The 18,672-nt window shown below is 49.6% G+C and overlaps 1 protein-coding gene and 1 non-coding gene across 7 annotated transcripts in view; both read right to left on the bottom strand.

Moving 5' to 3' along the window:
- Window positions 1-18,672, bottom strand: part of SUPT5H (SPT5 homolog, DSIF elongation factor subunit) — a 31,089-nt gene that overhangs the window by 7,704 nt on the left and 4,713 nt on the right. For 4 of the 6 annotated variants that reach the window (NM_001111020.3, NM_001130824.2, NM_001319990.2 and 1 more), the window contains 12 exons: window positions 15,446-15,611; window positions 11,227-11,292; window positions 10,662-10,673; window positions 10,080-10,149; window positions 9,894-9,962; window positions 9,718-9,783; window positions 9,378-9,408; window positions 9,007-9,075; window positions 3,918-4,169; window positions 2,398-2,487; window positions 2,222-2,292; window positions 106-211 (listed from right to left, as the gene is read on the bottom strand). In NM_001111020.3, the coding sequence (NP_001104490.1) occupies window positions 106-211; window positions 2,222-2,292; window positions 2,398-2,487; window positions 3,918-4,169; window positions 9,007-9,075; window positions 9,378-9,408; window positions 9,718-9,783; window positions 9,894-9,962; window positions 10,080-10,149; window positions 10,662-10,673; window positions 11,227-11,292; window positions 15,446-15,611 (1,068 nt within the window). The remainder of the gene's footprint in view (window positions 1-105; window positions 212-2,221; window positions 2,293-2,397; window positions 2,488-3,917; window positions 4,170-9,006; window positions 9,076-9,377; window positions 9,409-9,717; window positions 9,784-9,893; window positions 9,963-10,079; window positions 10,150-10,661; window positions 10,674-11,226; window positions 11,293-15,445; window positions 15,612-18,672) is intronic. The other 2 variants (NM_001130825.2, NM_001319991.2) reach the window with 1 other exon arrangement.
- SNORD175 (small nucleolar RNA, C/D box 175) lies at window positions 674-745 on the bottom strand. Its single transcript, NR_145805.1, has one exon. It is a non-coding gene; the product is annotated as a small nucleolar RNA, C/D box 175 (small nucleolar RNA).

Below are 18,672 nucleotides of genomic sequence, written 5' to 3'. Positions count from 1 at the left end.
TAACTTGAGGAGTGGGACAGAACCAGATAACCCACAGCCCAGGGCATCACCTGCAGGAGAACACTCACACCACCCCCATTACCAACACCCCTCTGGGACCCTCACCACAGCAGACATGGCGAAGCTCTTGAACAGAAAGCCCTTCCGGCTGTAACGGTTCCCCTCAAAGATGAGGAAGTCACCATCAGAGGCAACATCACCCCCCAGGGACCTGGAATTTGATGGGGGAGAGAAGATTAGAAGGGAGAGTCAAGAAGAAAATCTTGCTGTACCTCAGTCTTCTCAGCTGGCAACAGAAGGAGAGGACCACAGGCAGACTGACCCATCCCATCCCAGCACACACCCTCTTGGCAGCAGTGACTTCTCACAAACCCCAAAGGCCCGCCTCCCACCTCCCTGCACTCCTCCACCCATTCCCTGATTTATCTTTGAGCACCGATCACCATCTGACAATCTAGTGTTTGACCTGTCCCCCTAACTAGCATGTCAGCTCCAGAAGGTCAGGGATGTAACATTCACTAAATTTCACCAAGAATAGTGCCCAGTACACAGAAAGTATGCAGTAAACATTAGCTGAACAAAATAACAGTTTCAGACAATGATACCAGTGAATATTCGCAGAGCGCTCAGCCTGGCCTGCACACTCATGACCTCACAGGCTCTTCCCCAAATCTGTGGCATCAGTAACTGCTCATCATTTCCAGGTGAGGGAATGCAGGCTCAGGAAGGTCACATCACATGCCCAAGGGTGCCAAGCCACAGTCTTGACAGGATTCAAAAGCAGGCAGGTGGGACTCCCAAGCCTGCAGCTCCCGGCCCCAAATGTGGAGTGGCGGCCGCTTAGTGCCTGTTCCGAGTCTCCGGGGTGGGGAAGGAGCCTCCTTCATGGAGGAGCAGGTCAAGTTCCTCCTGCGCTCATGCAATCGCCTTCTCCCATGGTGAATCTGGGAGAGGGGCCAGCATGCTCTGCTGGGCATGCTGGGGTACTTGGTCAGCTGGCTTGCTGGGGGGTAAGGGAGCACTAGGGTTTGTTCTTTGCAAAGAGAGGTTCAGGTGAGTCGAAACCAGTGGTATAAATGGGTCCGAACTCAGGCAGGTGAAGTATTAGCAAGGCCCTTGGGTGCAGACTCAAAGGTGCATTCCACAGCTCTTCCTTTATCTGAAGGAAAACCTGACTGGCTGAATCACACACAATTAGTTCTAGAACAGGACCAGAGGGAAGAGTGTCACTGGCACCTCTCGTTTCTCCATGTCCTCCTCTCCTGCCCTCCCTGCCGGAGCCCCCAGTTGGCCCTGGGATGTTGAAATTCCTGGGCTGCTCCAATTCTCTACCCAGCTAGGGAGTCTGGGGGGCATCCTGAGGGAAAGGCACTCCATACCCCCCCATCTCAAGTGGGCATAAGCAGATCAGGAAAGGAGACTTTCTAAAGCCTGACATAGTCCATGAATCCCATTTCAATATATCACACCATGGATCACACTTACTACGTGCCAAGGGCATTCTGAGTACATATGCATACTAATTTATTTAATTCTCACTATAATCTATAATCTGAGGAAGCAGAGGTTGTTTTCTTTTTTTTTGAGACGGAGTCTCGCTCTGTCACCCAGGCTGGAGTGCAGTGGCACGATCTCGGCTCACTGCAATTTCTGCCTCGTGGGTTTAAGCGATTCTCCTGCCTCAGCCTCCCAAGTAGCTTGGATTACAGGAGCTGACCACAACCCTTGGCTAATTTTTGTATTTTTAGTAGAGACAAGGTTTCACCATGTTGGCCAGGCTGGTCTTGAACTCCTGACCTCAAGTGATCCGCCCGCCTCGGCCTCCCAAAGCGCTGGGATTATAGGTGTGAGCCATCACGCCCAGCCTCATCAATCTTTTTAAATATTTTTTTAACTTTTTTCTTTTTATTATTATTATTATTTTAAAAGATGGGATCTCATTATGTTGCCCAGGCTGGTCTCGAACTCCTTGCCTCAAGCAAGCCTCCTGCCTTAGCCTTCCAAAGTGCTCCCTCCCGCTGCGCCCAGCCTCATCAATCTTTATAGCAGAAGAAACTGAGGCACAGGGATGTGAAGTGACTTGCCTGAGGCTATACTGCCAAGCTAACCAATTCACAGGCTAAACCTGTGGCGGGGCCACCCCTGGGGAGGAACCTGCAAAAGGCACATTCTACACACCGGCCCTGGGGACCCAGCCCAGCCAGTCCCCAAGGACACGCACCTGATCTTCTCAGCATCAAACAGCCTCTGTGGAGGCCGCTTAAACTTCTTCCTTTTGGCAAACCAGTCTTTCTATGGAGGAAAGGGGCATGGGTGGGAAGGGTGAGGGAGGGGGCTTGGCCACCAGTGGGATCGAGCACACTCCCTCCCCCCCAGGCCACAGATTCCCCTGAGTACCAAGCTCATGCGGGCCTTGATGCGATCGTAGTCGATGCGTGGGATCATCTTCAGGGAGATGGTGTTCTGGCTGGGCTCCACGTAGTCCACCTGAGCAGGGCGAGCAGAAGGTCAGCAGGGCCCCACTCTCCTCCCTGACCCCAGACACAAGAAGGGTCAGGAGATGCTAGGAAGGAGAAGGGACGCAGGATGGTGGGGAAGAAACCAGGCTGCTGACCACTCCCAAAAGTCCCACGCTAGCTTGTCTGTCCCCTCAACTCTGGCACTGAGTAGCCACTGCCTGCTTGGTATCTCCACCTGGATGTCTAAAGGTCCCTCAAATCCAGGACGACCGCAGCCAAACCGCTGATTCCCCCAAACCTGCCGCCTCCCACTCCATTCTTCCCTCTGCTCAGGCACACAACCTGGGAGCCACTCTTGACTCCTTTGTTTCTCTTACACCCACACCCGACCCGTTGGCAAATTCCATCAGCTCTGCCTTCAAAATACCTGACCTCTTCCCCTCCTCCACTGCAGTCTCAGCATTCCAAATCCAAAAACCCAAAATGCTCAAAAATAGGAAACCCTGTGAGCACCAACATGATGCTCGAAGGAAATGCTCACTCTTGGATTTTCAGATTTGGGATGCTCAACCGGTAAGTATAATGCAAATATTCCAAAAGCTGAAAAAATCTGAAATCTGAAAAACACCTGTGGTCTCAAGAATTCAGGTTAGAGACACTCAACGTGTATTAGGGTCTTGGTCCTATCCCACCAGCACTGCCATCTGGGTGGGATGTGCTACAGCAGCAGCCTCCTCCCTGGTCTCCACGCTCTTGCCCATGGCCCCCTCCAGGCTATTCCCGGGTTTCTCAGCCTTGGCACTATTGACTTTTTGGGCCAGGTAATTTTTTGTTGTGGGCAGCCATCCTGTGCATTGGAGGATGTGTGTGTCTAGCATTTCTGGCTTTAACCTGCTAGATGCCATAATCGTCAACCCCCTCCCCAGCTGACATAACCAAAAATGTCTCCAGACGTTACCAAATGTCCCCTGGGGAAACATCACCCTGGCTTGAGAACCAGTGGTCTAGTCTCAACACAGTCACCAGAGAAATCTTATTAACATTGAAGTCTGCCTGTGTCCCTTACAGCCCTCCCATCCTACGCCAGTAAACACCAAAGCTCTCCAATGGGCCGCAGGCCCTCGTGAGCTCCCTAACTCATCTCACGCCATCCCTGCTGTAGCCAGTGACTGTGCCATCCTATCTCACAGGCCACTCCTGCTGCCTACAACACTCCTCCCCAAGAGCTCCACATGCCTCACGCCCTCCGATCCTTCAGACCTTTACTCAACACGCCTGGGAATGTGCACAGAAGACAGCCAACCGTTTCCTGTGTGCTCACAAAACCCAGGCTCTGCTTCAACTCATCTGAGTGGGATTCTATTCTCTGCAGCACAAAGAGGGTGGGAAGGACAAAAGGAAAGGAAGGGAGAACAGAATGGAGGGACCCTGACCCCCATGCCACCCCGCCCCGGGCACCTGAGCAATGTCATCCTTGTAGATGCCCCGCTTGAGGCGGACCCAGGACTTTGGTTTCAGGTTGGCCACCTCCTTCACCACTTTGAGCACGTCTGTCATCTCCTTGATGGGCACCATCTGCTGGTTCCAGTAGCCAAGCCGCAGGTTGCCCACCCCCTCAATGGCCTGCTTCACGTGGGTCTGCTTGTAGGCCTCCACGTAGATGTAGCCCTTCACATGCTCTGGTGCCACTACTGACTTGATCTGCAGGGGCTGCAGGGTGAGCCGGTGGAAGGAGGAAACAGTGAGACACAACGGCTAATAACAGAAATGACTGCCACTCATCAGCAGTCCCTCTTCTAGGAATTTATTCCACAGAAACACACTGGCACAATGACATGGACACAAAGGTGTTCCCTGCAGAATTATTTATCACAGCAAACAAACCAGACTAAAAATTTTAAAAATATCCAGAAACAGTAACTAGTTAACTTATGGCTTAATGTACCATGAAATACAATGTTGCAGTTAAAGAATACAAAAACTAGCTGGGTGTGATGGCACATGCCTGTAGTCCCAGCTACTCAGGAGGCTGAGCAGGGAGGACTGCTTGAGCCCGGGAGGTTGAGGCTGCAGTGAGCTGAGATCGCACCACTGCACTCCAGCCTGGGCAACAGAGTGAAACCCTGTCTCTTAAAAATAAAAAATAAAATAAAAATTAGATTAACCTGTATGTACTAATATAGAAAGCTATCCAACATATGTTCTGTGTAAAAAAGCAACTAGAGCCGGGCACGGTGGCTCATGCTTGTAATCCCAGCACTTTGGGAGGCCGAGGCGGGTGGATCACTTGGGGTCAAGAGTTCAAGACCAGCCTGACCAACACGGAGAAACCCTGTCTCTACTAAAAATATCCAAGATTAGCCGGGTGTGGTGGCACATGCCTGTCATCCCAGCTACACGGGAGGCTGAGGCAGAAGAGTCGCTTGAACCCGGGAGGTGGAGGTTGCGGTAAGCTGAGATCGCACCATTGCACTCCAGTCTGGGCAATAAGAGCAAAACTCCGTCTCAAAAAAAAAAAAAAAGCAACTAGAAGAAGAACCAAGAAAGGAGTGCTTACATCAGACAAAATATACTTTAAGACAAAAATTGCTACCAGAGACAACAAAAAACATTTTGTAACAATAAAAAGGTCAATCCATCAGGAAGATAGAATTACAAATGTATATGAAACTAACAGAGCCTCAAAATACATGAAGCAGAAACTAATGAAAATGAAGGAAGAAACTGACAACTCAACAGTAACAATCACTGACTGCAATACCCTGCTTTCAATCATGGATAGAGCTAGACCCAAGATCAACAAGGAAAGAGAACACTTGAGCAACACTGTAAGCCACCTAAACCTAATAGCCAGCTATAGACAGAACATTTCGTCTTCACTTTCCACTTATTAAGCGGAAATGGGAAAAAAGAACACTCCATCTAACAACAGCAGAATGCACTTTCTTCTCAAGGGCATATTAAACTTTCCAGAATAAACCACAGGTTAGGCCATAAAACACGTCTCAGTAAACATAAAAGAACTAAAATCATATAAAGTATATTCTCCATCCATATGTAATGAAGTTAAAAACCAACAGAAAGATACTTAGGAAATTCACAAATACATGGCAACACACTCCTAGATACCAAAACTTATGAGATTTGAAAAAAGCCATGCTTAGAAGTAAATGTATAGCTGTAAATACCAACTAAAAGAAAAAAAAGGCCAGGAGCGGTGGCTCATGCCTGTAATCCCAGCACTTTGGGAGGCCGAGGCAGGAGGATCACTTGAGGTCGGGAGTTCAATACCAGCCTGGCCAACATGGTGAAACCTTGCCTCTACTAAAAATACAAAAATTAAGGCCGGTTGGCCAGGCGCAGTGGGTTCATGCCTGTAATCCCAGCACTTTGGGAGGCTGAGGGGTGGATCATCTGAGGTCAGGAGTTCAAGGTCAGCCTGGCCAACATGGTGAAACCCCATCTCTACTAAAAATACCAAAAAAAAAAAAAAAAAAAAAATTAGCTGGGCATGGTGGTGGGTGCCTGTAATCCCAGCTACTTGGGAGGCTGAGGCAGGAGAATCGCTTGAACCCGGGAGGTGCAGGTTGCGGTGAGCCGAGATCGCATCATTGCACTCCAGCCTGGGCAACGGTGCGAGACTCTGTCTCAAAAAAAAAAAAAAAAAAGAAAATTAAGGCTGGGCACAGTGGCTCACGCCTGTAATCCCAACACTTTGGGAGGCCGAGGTGGGCCGATCACCTGAGGTCAGGAGTTCGAGACCAGCCTGGCCAACATGCTGAAACCCTATCTCTACTAAAAACACAAAAATTAGCCAGGCGTGGTGTCGGGTGCCTGTAATCCCAGCTACTTGGGAGATTGAGACAGGAGAATCAGTTGAGCCTGGGAGGCAGTGGTTGCAGTGGGCCAAGACTGCACCATTACATTCTAGCCTGGGCAAGAAGAGTAAAACTCCATCTCAAAAAAACAAACAAAAAAATGAAGTCTTGATATATGCTACAATATGGATGAGTCTTGAAAACATTAAGTGAAGCAAGTCAGTCACGAAAGGCGACATATTGTATGATTCCCTTTGTATGAACCATTCAGAGTTCCAATAGTCAAATCCACAGAGAAAGAAGGTAGATTCATAGTTACCAGGAGCTGTGAGGAGGGAGGAATGGGGAGTGATGACTAATGGGTATCGGTTTATTTTTGGGATAATGAAAATGTCCTGGAATTAGATGGTGATGATGGTTATGAATACACTACAATATATAAAATCCACCACAGTTTACACTTTAAAAAAATTAAATTTTAGGCTGGGCACAGTGGCTCAGAACTGCCATCCCAGCACTTTGGGAGGCCAAGGCGGGTGGATCACTTGAGCCAGGAGTTCAAGACCAGGCTGGCCAACATGGTGAAACCCCGTCTCTATTAAAAATACAAAAAAATCAGCCGGGCATGGTGGCGGATGCCTATAATCCCAGCTACTCGGGAGGCTGAGGCAGAGGTTGCAGTGAGCCGAGACCACACCATTGCACTCCAGCCTGGGCAACAAGAGTGAAACTCCGTCTCAAAAAAAAATAATAATCAGAGACATAACTCAAATGAAGTAACTAGAATTTTACCCCAGGGTACCATGTAGGAGGATTTGAGCACACTTCTTTTAATTATTATTATTATTATTTTTTTTTTTTTTTTTTTGAGACAGTCTCGCTCTGTTGCCCAGGCTGGAGTGCAGTGGCACGAGCTTGGCTCACTACAACCTCCAACTCCTGGGTTCAAGCAATTCTCCTGTCTCAGCCTCCCAAGTAGCTGGGATTATAGACATGCACCACCACCCCTGGCTAATCTTTTGTATTTTTGGTAGAGACGGAGTTTCACCATGCTGGTGAAGCTGGTCTCGAACTCTTAACCTCAGGTGATCCACACGCCTCAGTCTCCCAAAGTGCTGGGATTACAGGCGTGAGCCACCGCGCCCGGCCTATTATTATTTTCTTTGTAGAAATCAGTTGTCACTATGTCACTATGATGTCCAGGCTGGCCTCGAACTCCTTTTGCCTCAGCCTCCCAAAATACTGGTATTACAGACATTAGCCACCACACCTAGCCAAAAGGTACCTTTTCAACCTCCCTGTTGGGGAATCATACCCCACAAATCCCAATCTCACCCATGACAGGCAGGGACACTTATTACTATAATAATGAGGAAGACATTCCACCCCCTACCCACCCCGAGACGGAGTCTCACTCTGTCGCCCAGGCTGGAGTGCAATAGCGCAGTCTTGGCTCACTGTAACCTCTGCCTCCTAGATTCAAGTGATTCTCCTGCCTCAGCCTCCCAAGTAGCTGGGATTACAGTCAAGCACCACCATGCCCAGCTGATTTTTGTATTTTTGGTAGGGACAAGGTTTCACCATGTTGGCCAGGCTGGTCTCAAACTGGCTGGTTTCGAACTCCTAACCTCGTGATCCACCCACCTCAGCCTCCCTAAGTGCTGGAGATTCAGGCATGAGCCACCATGGCCGGCCTTTGAGGAGGACATTTGAGCACATTTAAAAGCATAGTTTGCAAACCCTACAACTGTCTACTTGGTCCCACTGGGTCACACCCAGTGGCTGGACAGGTGAAAGCATGATCCCTAGCAGGGATCATGTTAACTGAGAAAGTTACCAGCCAGCACCCTTCATAGCGTTTGCCCTGGTTCCCAAACTGCCAATGAAGCCTTTGACAACAGCTCTGCTAAGTAAATGCAAGCTGCAGAACAAGTCCTAGCTGAGAGCTGGACATAAAGCCACCTAATCCTTTTTTTTGTCACACTGGAGTGCAGTGATGCGATCTCGGCTCACCGCAACTTCTGCCTCCTGGGTTCAAGTGATTCTGCCTCAGCTTCCCAAGTAGCTGGGACTACAGGTGTGCACCACCACGCCCAGCTGAGTTTTGTATTTTTAGTAGAGACGGGGTTTCACCACGTTGGCCAGGCTGGTCTCAAACTCCTGACCTCAAGTGATCTGCCTGCCTCAGCCTTCCAGAGTGCTGGTATTACAGGTGAATGCCACTGCACCCAGCCAAAAGCCACTTAATCCTAATGATGCTGAGAGGCAACCAAGGGGCCCAGAGAGGGGAAGTAGGTGCATCAGAGTCACACAGCTAAGAAGTGGCAAGGGCAGGACTCAAACTCTGTCAGTCTAAAGAAAGACCTGGGCCTTGGATGCAGCATTTGCTGCCTGGCATGTGGTGAAGTGGGTGACCCCAGCCCAACAGGGCTGGTGAACAGGCAAACCCACTCTCATGAAGAAAAGGTGCAGGAAGCTAGCTGGCTGACTTCCAAAGGGCTACAAGGGTGGGAAGACCCTGCCATAAATGCAGAGAACAAAGACAACATATCCATCTAGGCCGAGAAGAGCCCTTCCATCTAGGCAGTGGTCTTATTCCAGCTCAAGCAGCTCACTCAGCAGGCAGCTCTGCTCACAACAGAGGCACCTGGTACCCCTGAAGTTGACAATGTTCTTCCCTCTGGGTGTTGCCATGTCTCCCCACCAAGCCGCCTGTCTACCCGACTTACCGTGTCTGTGAACTGGTAGGCAATGAACTTGCGCATCAAGGAAATGGCCGTGGCCCGTTCCTCCCCAATCTGGAAGATGAGAGGCAGATTTGAGAGAGATGACAGGATGGAGGAAAGGACACAGGAAAGGGGGAAGGAGACAGCAGCAAGAAAAATAAAGTAGGACCAAGAGAGGAGAGAGAAAGAAGGATGGACAGCCAGGAAGATGGAGGTGGGAGATAGCCAGTCAGTAACGTGGAGTGAGGGATGGAGACAGAAGGACCAAGTGACTGGCAGGCCACGGAGACCCGGGACAGACAGACACTTCTCCCCCACAAAGCAGCCTCCCTCATTCTCCCACCTCCTCCAAGCCCCGAGATCAGAGCACATACCTTACATTTGACAGTCCACAGATTGGGATCCCTAAGCAGCAGAGGAAAAGGAAGGCCTTCAGTGAAGCTGGATCTTCAGTAACAAACAGACGAACCCCCAGGGCCACCCCCTTCCTCTGGTTTCACATCCAGGTTCCCTCACACTCACTGACTTCCCCACGCTTCTACCCAGGAGCAAGAGGAAAGAGAAAGTGCCACCTTGCCCTCCCTACCCCTGCCATCCACCACACTGCCTGTGTGACTCTGCCCTGACTTATTTCAGGGAGCCACCTGTCTAGGCACCATCACCCCATACAAGATTCGCACCCCAGCACGGCCCCCACCATCCCAACCCCCTTACTTGACTCCTGGGAGCAGCTGCTGCTGGGTGATGTCGTCTGAGAGCTCATCAGATCCTCCATACACCCTGAAGGGAGGAGGGCAGTCAGGAAGGGGTGAAGCTCTGTCAGATCCCCGCCCCTTCCCGCTTAGGGACCACCTGCTCCCTGCCCCCACCTGCCCCCACCATGCCCTTACGTCTCTCCCACAGATGACTTGGCGTATTTCTTCATGTAATACTCGCCCAGTTCTTCTTCTCGCTGGTCCCTGGAGCACGAGTGGGGAAGCAAACACGAATTGAAGGTTGAGGACAGCAGGTGGGCTGACCTACTCCCAAATCTCCCCACAGGAGCCAATCCCACCACGTTTCCCTTCCTTGCCCACCTCCAGAGGTTTTGCAGGCGGCGAGCCCCAGAACGATCTTCATCCAGGACAACATTATCGATATTGGAGGCTGAAAAATAATGGGCAGAGGGCGTGAGCAAGGGCAGGTGGAGGGCAGGGGCCTGGAGAAAATAGGAGCGTGCAGCTAAGAGGGCCAGGGTTTGGCCCTGGGGCAGGAAGATGACATCTCACAGAGGAAATCCCAACCCCTCATCCCCTACTCTGTCCTACTCAGCATCCTGCTTCTTGTCAAAAAGACTGGGGATGGGGCCCAGCAAGTTGGGGGGCTTCCAGCTGTTCCCATCTCAAAGTCCAGGCACACCCTGGACTGCACCCCACCCCACACATCGCTACCACCCACAAATGCTCAGTCCCAGACAGACACATCCGTGCTTTCCCAGGTCAACAACTGGGGTATACCTGGCCCCAGAACTCCCTGACTCTGGATCCTACATGGGTCAGAGCCCTCAGGGCCAGACCGGGGCTGGTGGGGAGGCTACCGGTGAGGGCAGGTGCCTCAGGAAGGAGGAAATGTCAGGATATGGGAGGAAGGTCAGGGAATCACACTTTTCATATTCTTACCTTCAATCTCTTCTACTTGGAGGAAGAGGAGGTGGTGGTGGTGGTGGTGGTGGTGGTGGTGGTGGTGGTGGTGGGCGAGGGCAGACAAAGTATGAGCCAAATTATAGCAGCAAAATCAACCAATGGGTTGGGGGAGGGGAAGGGAGGGACACAGAAAGGTTGAAAACCAAAAGTAAAGGCCAGGCACCAGGTGGTTGGGGAGAAGCCGAAATGTATGAGGCGCACAGAACGGAAAATAACGGGGAAAGGGGGGCACTGGCCCAGGAAGTGGGGGGTATCTTGGGACAGAGCTCGCCCACCCTACAACCCCAGAAGGGATTCACTGGGCCCTGGGATCCCAGAGTCCTCTCCCCACAACATCCCCACCCCAGGGCCCCACCCCCCACTCATGGGCCTAAAAGGAAAAAGCAGGGAGCTGGTCTCTCTGGGAAGGACAGAAAGAAGCAAGGTGAGGACGGTGGGAGTTGGGGTGTACAGGGGATGCGGGGGTCGGGGGAATGGGCTCTGAAGACCCTCTCAGCCACCCTCTTCCCAGTAGTCTTGTGGAGGCAGGGCTCACACACACCTTTCTCTAGAATGTCCTCTGCTCCATCCTCCCACTGGTCCTCGTCCTCATACTCATCGTCAACATCTAAAACGGAAAGGCCAAGTGGTAAGTGGCAAAGGTGACCTCATAACAGCTCCCAGGACACGAAGCATCTCCTCTGGGAGATGTGCACTACAAATCCCCACCGCACAGAGCAGGACACTGAGGCTCCAACAGGGAGGCACTCGTCTGGGGCCGTGCCACAGAGCTGGTGCACGCATCAGGATCGAGGGGGACATACAGCTCCAACTAACTCTAAAAGTCATCCCCTCTCCTTACTCCACTCCCAAATCCCTTTTAAAAAACTAAGATCAAAGTAAGCAAAAAGAAAAGTTCCCTCCCAACTATCAGAAAATGATCAATAAATAGTTTTTTAAAAGATGGTTCATGGTCTGTTGGTTTTATGATTCTTGTACATTTATAACAGCTAATGCTGAGAGCATACTATACACCCTGCCCTGTTCTGAGTACCTGACACAGGTTCCTCACTGATCTTCCTGGCAACCCCGAGGGAGGCACTATCGTTGTTCCTATTTTACAGCAAAGGCTCTGAGACCCAGAGAGATTAAGGAACTTGCCCACAGACTCAGCTGGGATCTGAGAGAGGCAGTCTGGCTCCATGGTCCATGTACTTAATCTCTTTACCATGTTGGATGTACTGCTTTGCAGGTATCAAACATTACACTAAAAACGTAATACATGCACATAATGAAAAACTCCAATGTCCATAGAGGATGTAAGTATCAATTAAGTCTCCCTCACATTTCTAACCCCTAGAATCTCAGTAACCTCTCCCAAAGGCAACTCCGTGACTAGTTTCTTGCCTAGAGATATCTGTGTACATATATGAAATCCATGTAAGGCTGGACGTGGTGGCTCACACCTGTAATCTCAACACTTTGGGAGGCCGAAGTGGGAAGATCACTTGAGCCCAGGAGTTTGAAACCGGCCTGGGCAACATAGTGAGACCTCCTAAATCCAAAAACTTAAAAAATTAGTTAGGGTTGGGCACGGTGGCTCATGCCTGTAATCCCAGCACTTTGGGAGGCCGAGGCGGGTGGATCATGAGGACAGGAGCTCATGATCAGCCTGGCCAACATGGTGAAACCCCCGTCTCTACTAAAAATACAAAAAATTAGTCAGGTATGGTGGTGGGCGCCTGTAATCCCAGCTACTCGGGAGGCTGAGGCAGAGAATTGCTTGAACCCGGGAGGTGGAGGTTGCAGTGAGCCAAGATCACACCACTGCACTCCAGCCTGGGCAACAGAGGGAAACTCCGTCTCAAAAACAACAACAACAACAACAACAACAAAAAAAAACAGTCTAGTCAGGCCTGGTGATGCACACCTGTGGTCCCAGCTACTCAGGAGGCTGAGGTGAGAGGATCACTTGGACCTGGGAGGTAGAGGCTGCAGTGAGCCATGATCATGCCACTGAACTCCAGCCTAGGAAACGGAGTGAGATCCTGTCTTTAAAAAAAAAAAGAAAAAAGAAAAAAAAAAGGTCTGGGCACAATGGCTCATGCTTATAATCCCCGCACTTTGGGAGGCCGAGATGGGTGGACCACCTGAGGTCAGGAGTTCGAGACCAGCCTGGCCAACATGGTGAAACCCCGTCTCTACTAAAAACACAAAAATTAGTGGCACACGCCTATAATCCCAGCTACTCGGGAAGCTGAGACAGGAGAATCCCTTGAATCCGGGAGGCAGAGGTTGCAGTGAGCCGAGATCACACCACTGCACTCCAGGGTGGGCAAGAGAAACTCCGTCTTAAAAAAAAAAAAAAAAAAAAAAAGAAGAGGCGGGGCGCAGTGGTTCACGCCTGTAATCCCAGTACTTTGGGAGGCCAAGGTGGGTGGATCATGAGGTCAGGAGTTCGAGACCAGCCTGGCCAACATGGTGAAACCCTGTCTCTACTAAAAATACAAAAATTAGCTGGGCGTAGTGGCAGGCACCTGTAATCCCAGCTACTCGGGAAGCTGAGGCAGGAGAAGCACTTGAAACCAGAAGGTGGAGGTTGCAGTGAGCTGAGATTGCACCACTGCACCCCAGCCTGGGTGAAAAAGCGAAACTCCATCTCAAAAAAAAAAAAAGAAGAAAAGAAAAGAAATGCATGTAATCCACCCCGCCACCACTATGTTCCCCCCATGTAATTTTTTTTGTTTAGACCGAGTCTTGCTCTGTCACCCAAGCTAGAGTGCAGCAATCTCGGCTCACTGCAACCTCCACCTCCCGGGTTCAAGCAATTCTCCTGCCTCAGCCTCCCAAGTAGCTGGGATTACAGGCGCCCGCCACCACGCCCAGCTAATTTTTGTATTTTTAGTAGAGACAGGGTTTCGCCATCTTGGCCAGGCTGGTCTCGAACTCCTAACCTCAGATGATCCACCCGCCTCAGCCTCCTAAAGTGCTGGGATTACAAGCATGAGCCACCACGCCCAGCCCCCACGTAATTTTTTTAACACACCGTTCTGTACCTTTCTTTTTCTCAAAACTACTACTAACTCAGAGCTCTCCCACAGCAGCACATGCCTCATATACTATATGGCCCATAATTTGTTTAACCAGGCCCTAATCATCAATAAACATTTAGGTCACCAAACTTTTGCAACTGCGAACAGGACTACAACAAGCATCTTTGTTCTCAGGTCTTCATGCACTCATGCAAGTTTAACCATAAAGTAAATTCTAAAGAGGAACTGCTTGGTCAAAGGGTTCCTGCATGTTAAATGCTAACAGGCACTGCCACACAGCCTTCCACACAGGCAGTGCCCACCAACACTTCCACCACCAACATATGGGTGTCCCTGGGAACCCACAGCTTTTACCCAGCATGGTATCCATTCTCTTGCTCTCCAAGAACATCCAGAGCACCTCCTGTCCCTTTGACAATAAACTACTTTTCTTCTCAGGTAAAACAGTCCCAGGAAAACAGAGGCAGGATGTGTTCTAAGTAACCCCTCTTCCCATAGGTAAGGGAAAACATGCACATTCATTATCATCATGGAAGTATGAACTAGTCTTATCTTTTTAGGAACTGATATTTGGCCGTAAATATAAAAAATCTTTTTTTAAAAAAAGTGCGGCCAGGCATGGTGGCTCACGCCCGTAATCTCAGCACTTTGGGAGGCCAGGGCGGGCGGATCACAAGGTCAGGAGTTCGAGACCATCCTAACACAGTGAAACCCTGTCTCTACTAAAAATATAAAAAATTAGCCAGGCATGGTGGCACGTGCCCGTAGTCCCAGCTACTCAGGAGGCTGAGGCAGGAGAAACAGTTGAACCCAGGAGGGAGAGGTTGCAGTGAGCCATCGCACCACTGCACTCCAGCCTGAGCGAGACTCCGTCTCAAAAAAAAAAAAAAAAACAACGACAACAACAAAATGCACCACCTTTACCTAGCAATTTGACTAACAGGGATTTAACACGTAGAACAGAGATTTTTCATCTGGGGTGGTCTGTGTTCGATGAAAAAACTACAGCTCCTATTTTCAGTAACCTGGAATTGAAATTTAGCATTTACATCAATTACATACAATGGCAACAAACCACACAATGTTAGCTGTGTCACTGGCTCTTTCACAGCACATTACAGCTATAGGTATCTCAAGGCAGCATTTACACTCACTGCTACTTGAAAATTAGATTCTCAGACTACCTACAAAGTCTTATTACCTAAATATGTTAACAAAGAAACATATGCACCAAAATGTTCTTTTTAAATATTCTGATAACTGTACTTCAATAAATTGTCCTCTTTGGAATCCTATGTATTTTGTTTTATGCATTTCAGAAGATGATTCTGAGAAGGGAACAGGGTTTCACCAGACTACAGAAGGGGCCGTAGCACGAGAAAAGTTAAGAACTTTGGTCCTTCACGCCTGTAATCCCAGCATTTTGGGAGGCCAAGGCGGGCAGATCACGAGGTCAGGAGATTGAGACCACCCTGGCTAACAAGGTGAAACCCCGTCTCCACTAAAAAATAGAAAAAATTAGCCGGGCGTGGTGGCGGGCGCCTGTAGTCCCAGCTATTCAGGAGGCTGAGGCAGGAGAATGGCATGAACTTGCAGTGAGCCAAGTTCATGCTACTGCACTCCAGCCTGGGCGACAGAGCGAGACTCCGCCTCAAAAAAAGAAAAAGAAATGGAACTAAAAGTAGAAGCTCAGCCTCTGCTCGGCACTGGCCAAGCACTATGACATACCAGCCTCGTCCAGAATGAAGCCTCCATGGCGGGGTTTCTTGGGGGGTCGGTCATCATCTTCTTCCTCCTCTTCCTCATCGTATTCCTCCTCCTCTTCCTCCTCCTCTTCGTCCTCAGGCTCTTCTTCTTTCTCACTGCCCGCTGCACTCCGCCGCTCTTCGTCTACCTACAGGGGTCAGGCAGGGTTGTAGCACCAGAATTCTGCTACCCCAAAAATCCAAAAACCAAGTTCCTCACCCTAAATCTGACCTCAGATTGGCCTGGCCAATCATAGCCCACTTTGCTCTGCATATATCCCTTTCACTCTAGCCTGGCCTCTCTGGTTACCATCCTATCTCAGCGACAGCACTGCCATCTCCCCAGCCACCCAAGCAACCCTGGGAGTTGACCCGGGCTTCTCCCTGCACTAGACCTCTTGCTCACTTTCCACCGAGTCTTTAACTATAATAGCTTGATGAAGCTTGGTCCTTGGGCCTCATTTCTTTCTCTCTCTTTTTTTTTTTTTTTTTGAGACAGAGTCCCACTCTGTCTCCCAGGCTAGAGTGCCATGGCAGAATCTTGGCTCACTGCAACCTCCACCTCCTGGGTTCAAGCAATTCTCTTGCCTCAGCCTCCTGAGTAGCTGAGATTACAGGTGTGCGCCACCACACCTGGCTAATTTTTGTATTTTTTTAGTAGACACGTGGCTTCACCATGTTGGCCAGGCTGGTCTCGAACTCTTGACCTCAGGTGATCCATCCGCCTCTGCCTCCGAAAATGCTGGGATTACAGGTGTGAGCCACAGCACCTGGCCCATCTCTTCCCATTCTACAACTCCCCAAGGCCATCTCGTCCTCTCCCTTGGCGGTGGTGGACATCTCTGTGACAGTGACTCCCATCTCTGTTTCTAGTCCACACTGCTCACGAAGATCACTGGCCACCCCTGTTGCTAATTCTGTGGCCATTCTGTATTCCCTACCATCCCAGCAGCATCTGGCACCCCAACCATGCCCTCCCTGGAGAAATGCTCCTCTCTTGGCTTCTGCCGTATCATGCTCTCCTGGTTTTTCTCAAAACTCCACCAGCTCCTCTTCAAGCTCCTCTTACTGTTAACCCCTTCAAATCTGACATCAATTACCAGGGCTCAGTCCAGGGCCACTTTGTTCTCCCTCCATGCCCTCTCTCCCTGTCCATTTTACTTTCCATGACCTCAGTTCCTGTCTCTAGAGATGACACGTGTCCTCATCTGTCTATAGAGTCCCACTTTTTTCCAGAACTCAAGACCTCCATGCACCAGCAGCATCCTGGATGCCTCCCCTAGATGGCCTCTGAGCCCTTTCATACTCACTGTGTCCCAAACTGACCTCAGTGTCTTCCCCTAGACCTGTGATGGCCTCCTCCAATTACCGACAGGCACCAAATCCTCATCCTTTCTGCCTGTAAACATCATTTCTCCAACCCATCCTTTTCCCCCAGCCCCATATATCTGAGCCTAGGCCAGGACACTGCCCTCTAACACCTGGATCCTTACCCCAGCCTCCTCCCTACTCTCCTGGCCTCTAATCCCTCTTTCCATACCAGAAACAACATTAATGGATGCATACCAAACTTCAGTCTTTAACTCATGAACTTCACGACTTCTTCCATGTCATTACTACAATCCATTTACCTAATACAGGTTGAACATCCCTAATCCAAAAATCTGAAATCTGGTCAGGTGCAGTGGCTCATGCCTGTAATCCCAACACTTTAGGAGGCCAAAGCGGGTGGATCACCTGACATCAGGAGTACAAGACCCGCCTAGCCAATGTGGTGAAACCCCGTCTTTACTAAAAATACAAAAGCTAGCCCAGCACGGTGGTGGGCACCTGTACTCCCAGCTACTCAGGAGGCTGAGGTAGGAGAATCGCTTGAAACTGGGAGGTGAAGGTTGCACTCAGCCGAGATTGTACCACTGCACTCCAGCCTGGCCAATGGACCAAGACACTGTCAAAAAAACAAACAAACAAAAAACTGAAATCTGAAAGGCTTCAAAATCTGAAACTTTTTCAGCACTGACATAATGCTCAAAGGTCATGCTCAGGCTGGGCGCGGTGGCTCGCGCGGATCACCTGAGGTCAGGAGTTCAAGACCAGCCTGGCCAACATAGTGAAACCCCATCTCTACTAAAAATACAAAAAAAAAAAAACCTAGCCAGGCATGGTGGCACGCCTGTAGTCCCAACTACTTGGGAGGCTGAGGCAGGAGGATTGTTTGAACCTGGGAGGCACAGGTTGCAGTGAGCCAAGATCGCACCACTGCACTCCAGCCTAGGCGACACAGCAAGACTCTGTCTCAAAAAAAAAAAAAAAAAAAGGTCATGCTCAAAGTAAATGTTCACTGGAGCATTCTGGATTTTCAGATTAGGGAACGCTCCACAGCAAATATTACAAAATCAAAAAAAAAAAAATCCAAAATCTGAAACACTTCTTGTCCCAAGCATTTTAGATAATACTCAATGTGTATTTTCTTCAAATCTACTCACCTTCTTAAATAAAAACATTTTTATATTATGCAATGTTTCAAAATTTAAAACTTTTTGAAGGTTTGTCATAAACACAAGGTAACTATAAAGATAAAAGCAAAACAATGTTATTAAGACCCAGCAAGATACTGCTGCCTGCTGCAGGCTCTAAGCCTAAGGCCTGTTCTCCCACCCAGAGGCGTTCAAGACACAGTAGCACTAAGATGAAACTTTCTCATGACCCAATCAAGATAAGACACACAACTGAAAAGGAAATATTCTCACTAAATGATTCAATGTAGCTTAAGGTCTTGTCCTTATTCCACCTAAAAGCACCTTTCATCATCCCCAACCTAGAATATATGGTACAGTCTTAGAAAACTGTAATCTAAAACATGAACCTGACCATTTGTTCCCCTGCTCAGCTTCAGCCAGCCTGAACTAGAAGCACATGCTCTGCCTGCTGCCTCTCCCCGTTCCCCACCATTCAGGACTGCCTCCCCAACACTAGGCCTCAGCTGCACTCAACTACTTGGACCATACTCTCTCAGTGCTGGCCATCATCCATGCTGGTTTTCTGTATAAAAAGTCCCCTCTGGGCCTGGGCGCAGTGGCATGCGCCTGTAATCCCAGCTATTCAGGAGGCTGAGGCAGGAGAATCACTTAAACCCAGAAGGAAGAGGTTGCAGTGAGCCGCGATTGTGCCACTACACTCCAGCCTGGGCGACAGAGTGAGACTTCATCT

This window comes from Homo sapiens, chromosome 19, assembly GCF_000001405.40.
Source record: "Homo sapiens chromosome 19, GRCh38.p14 Primary Assembly".
Lineage (NCBI taxonomy): Eukaryota > Metazoa > Chordata > Mammalia > Primates > Hominidae > Homo > Homo sapiens.
This window is presented reverse-complemented; position numbering and strand designations above follow the sequence as displayed.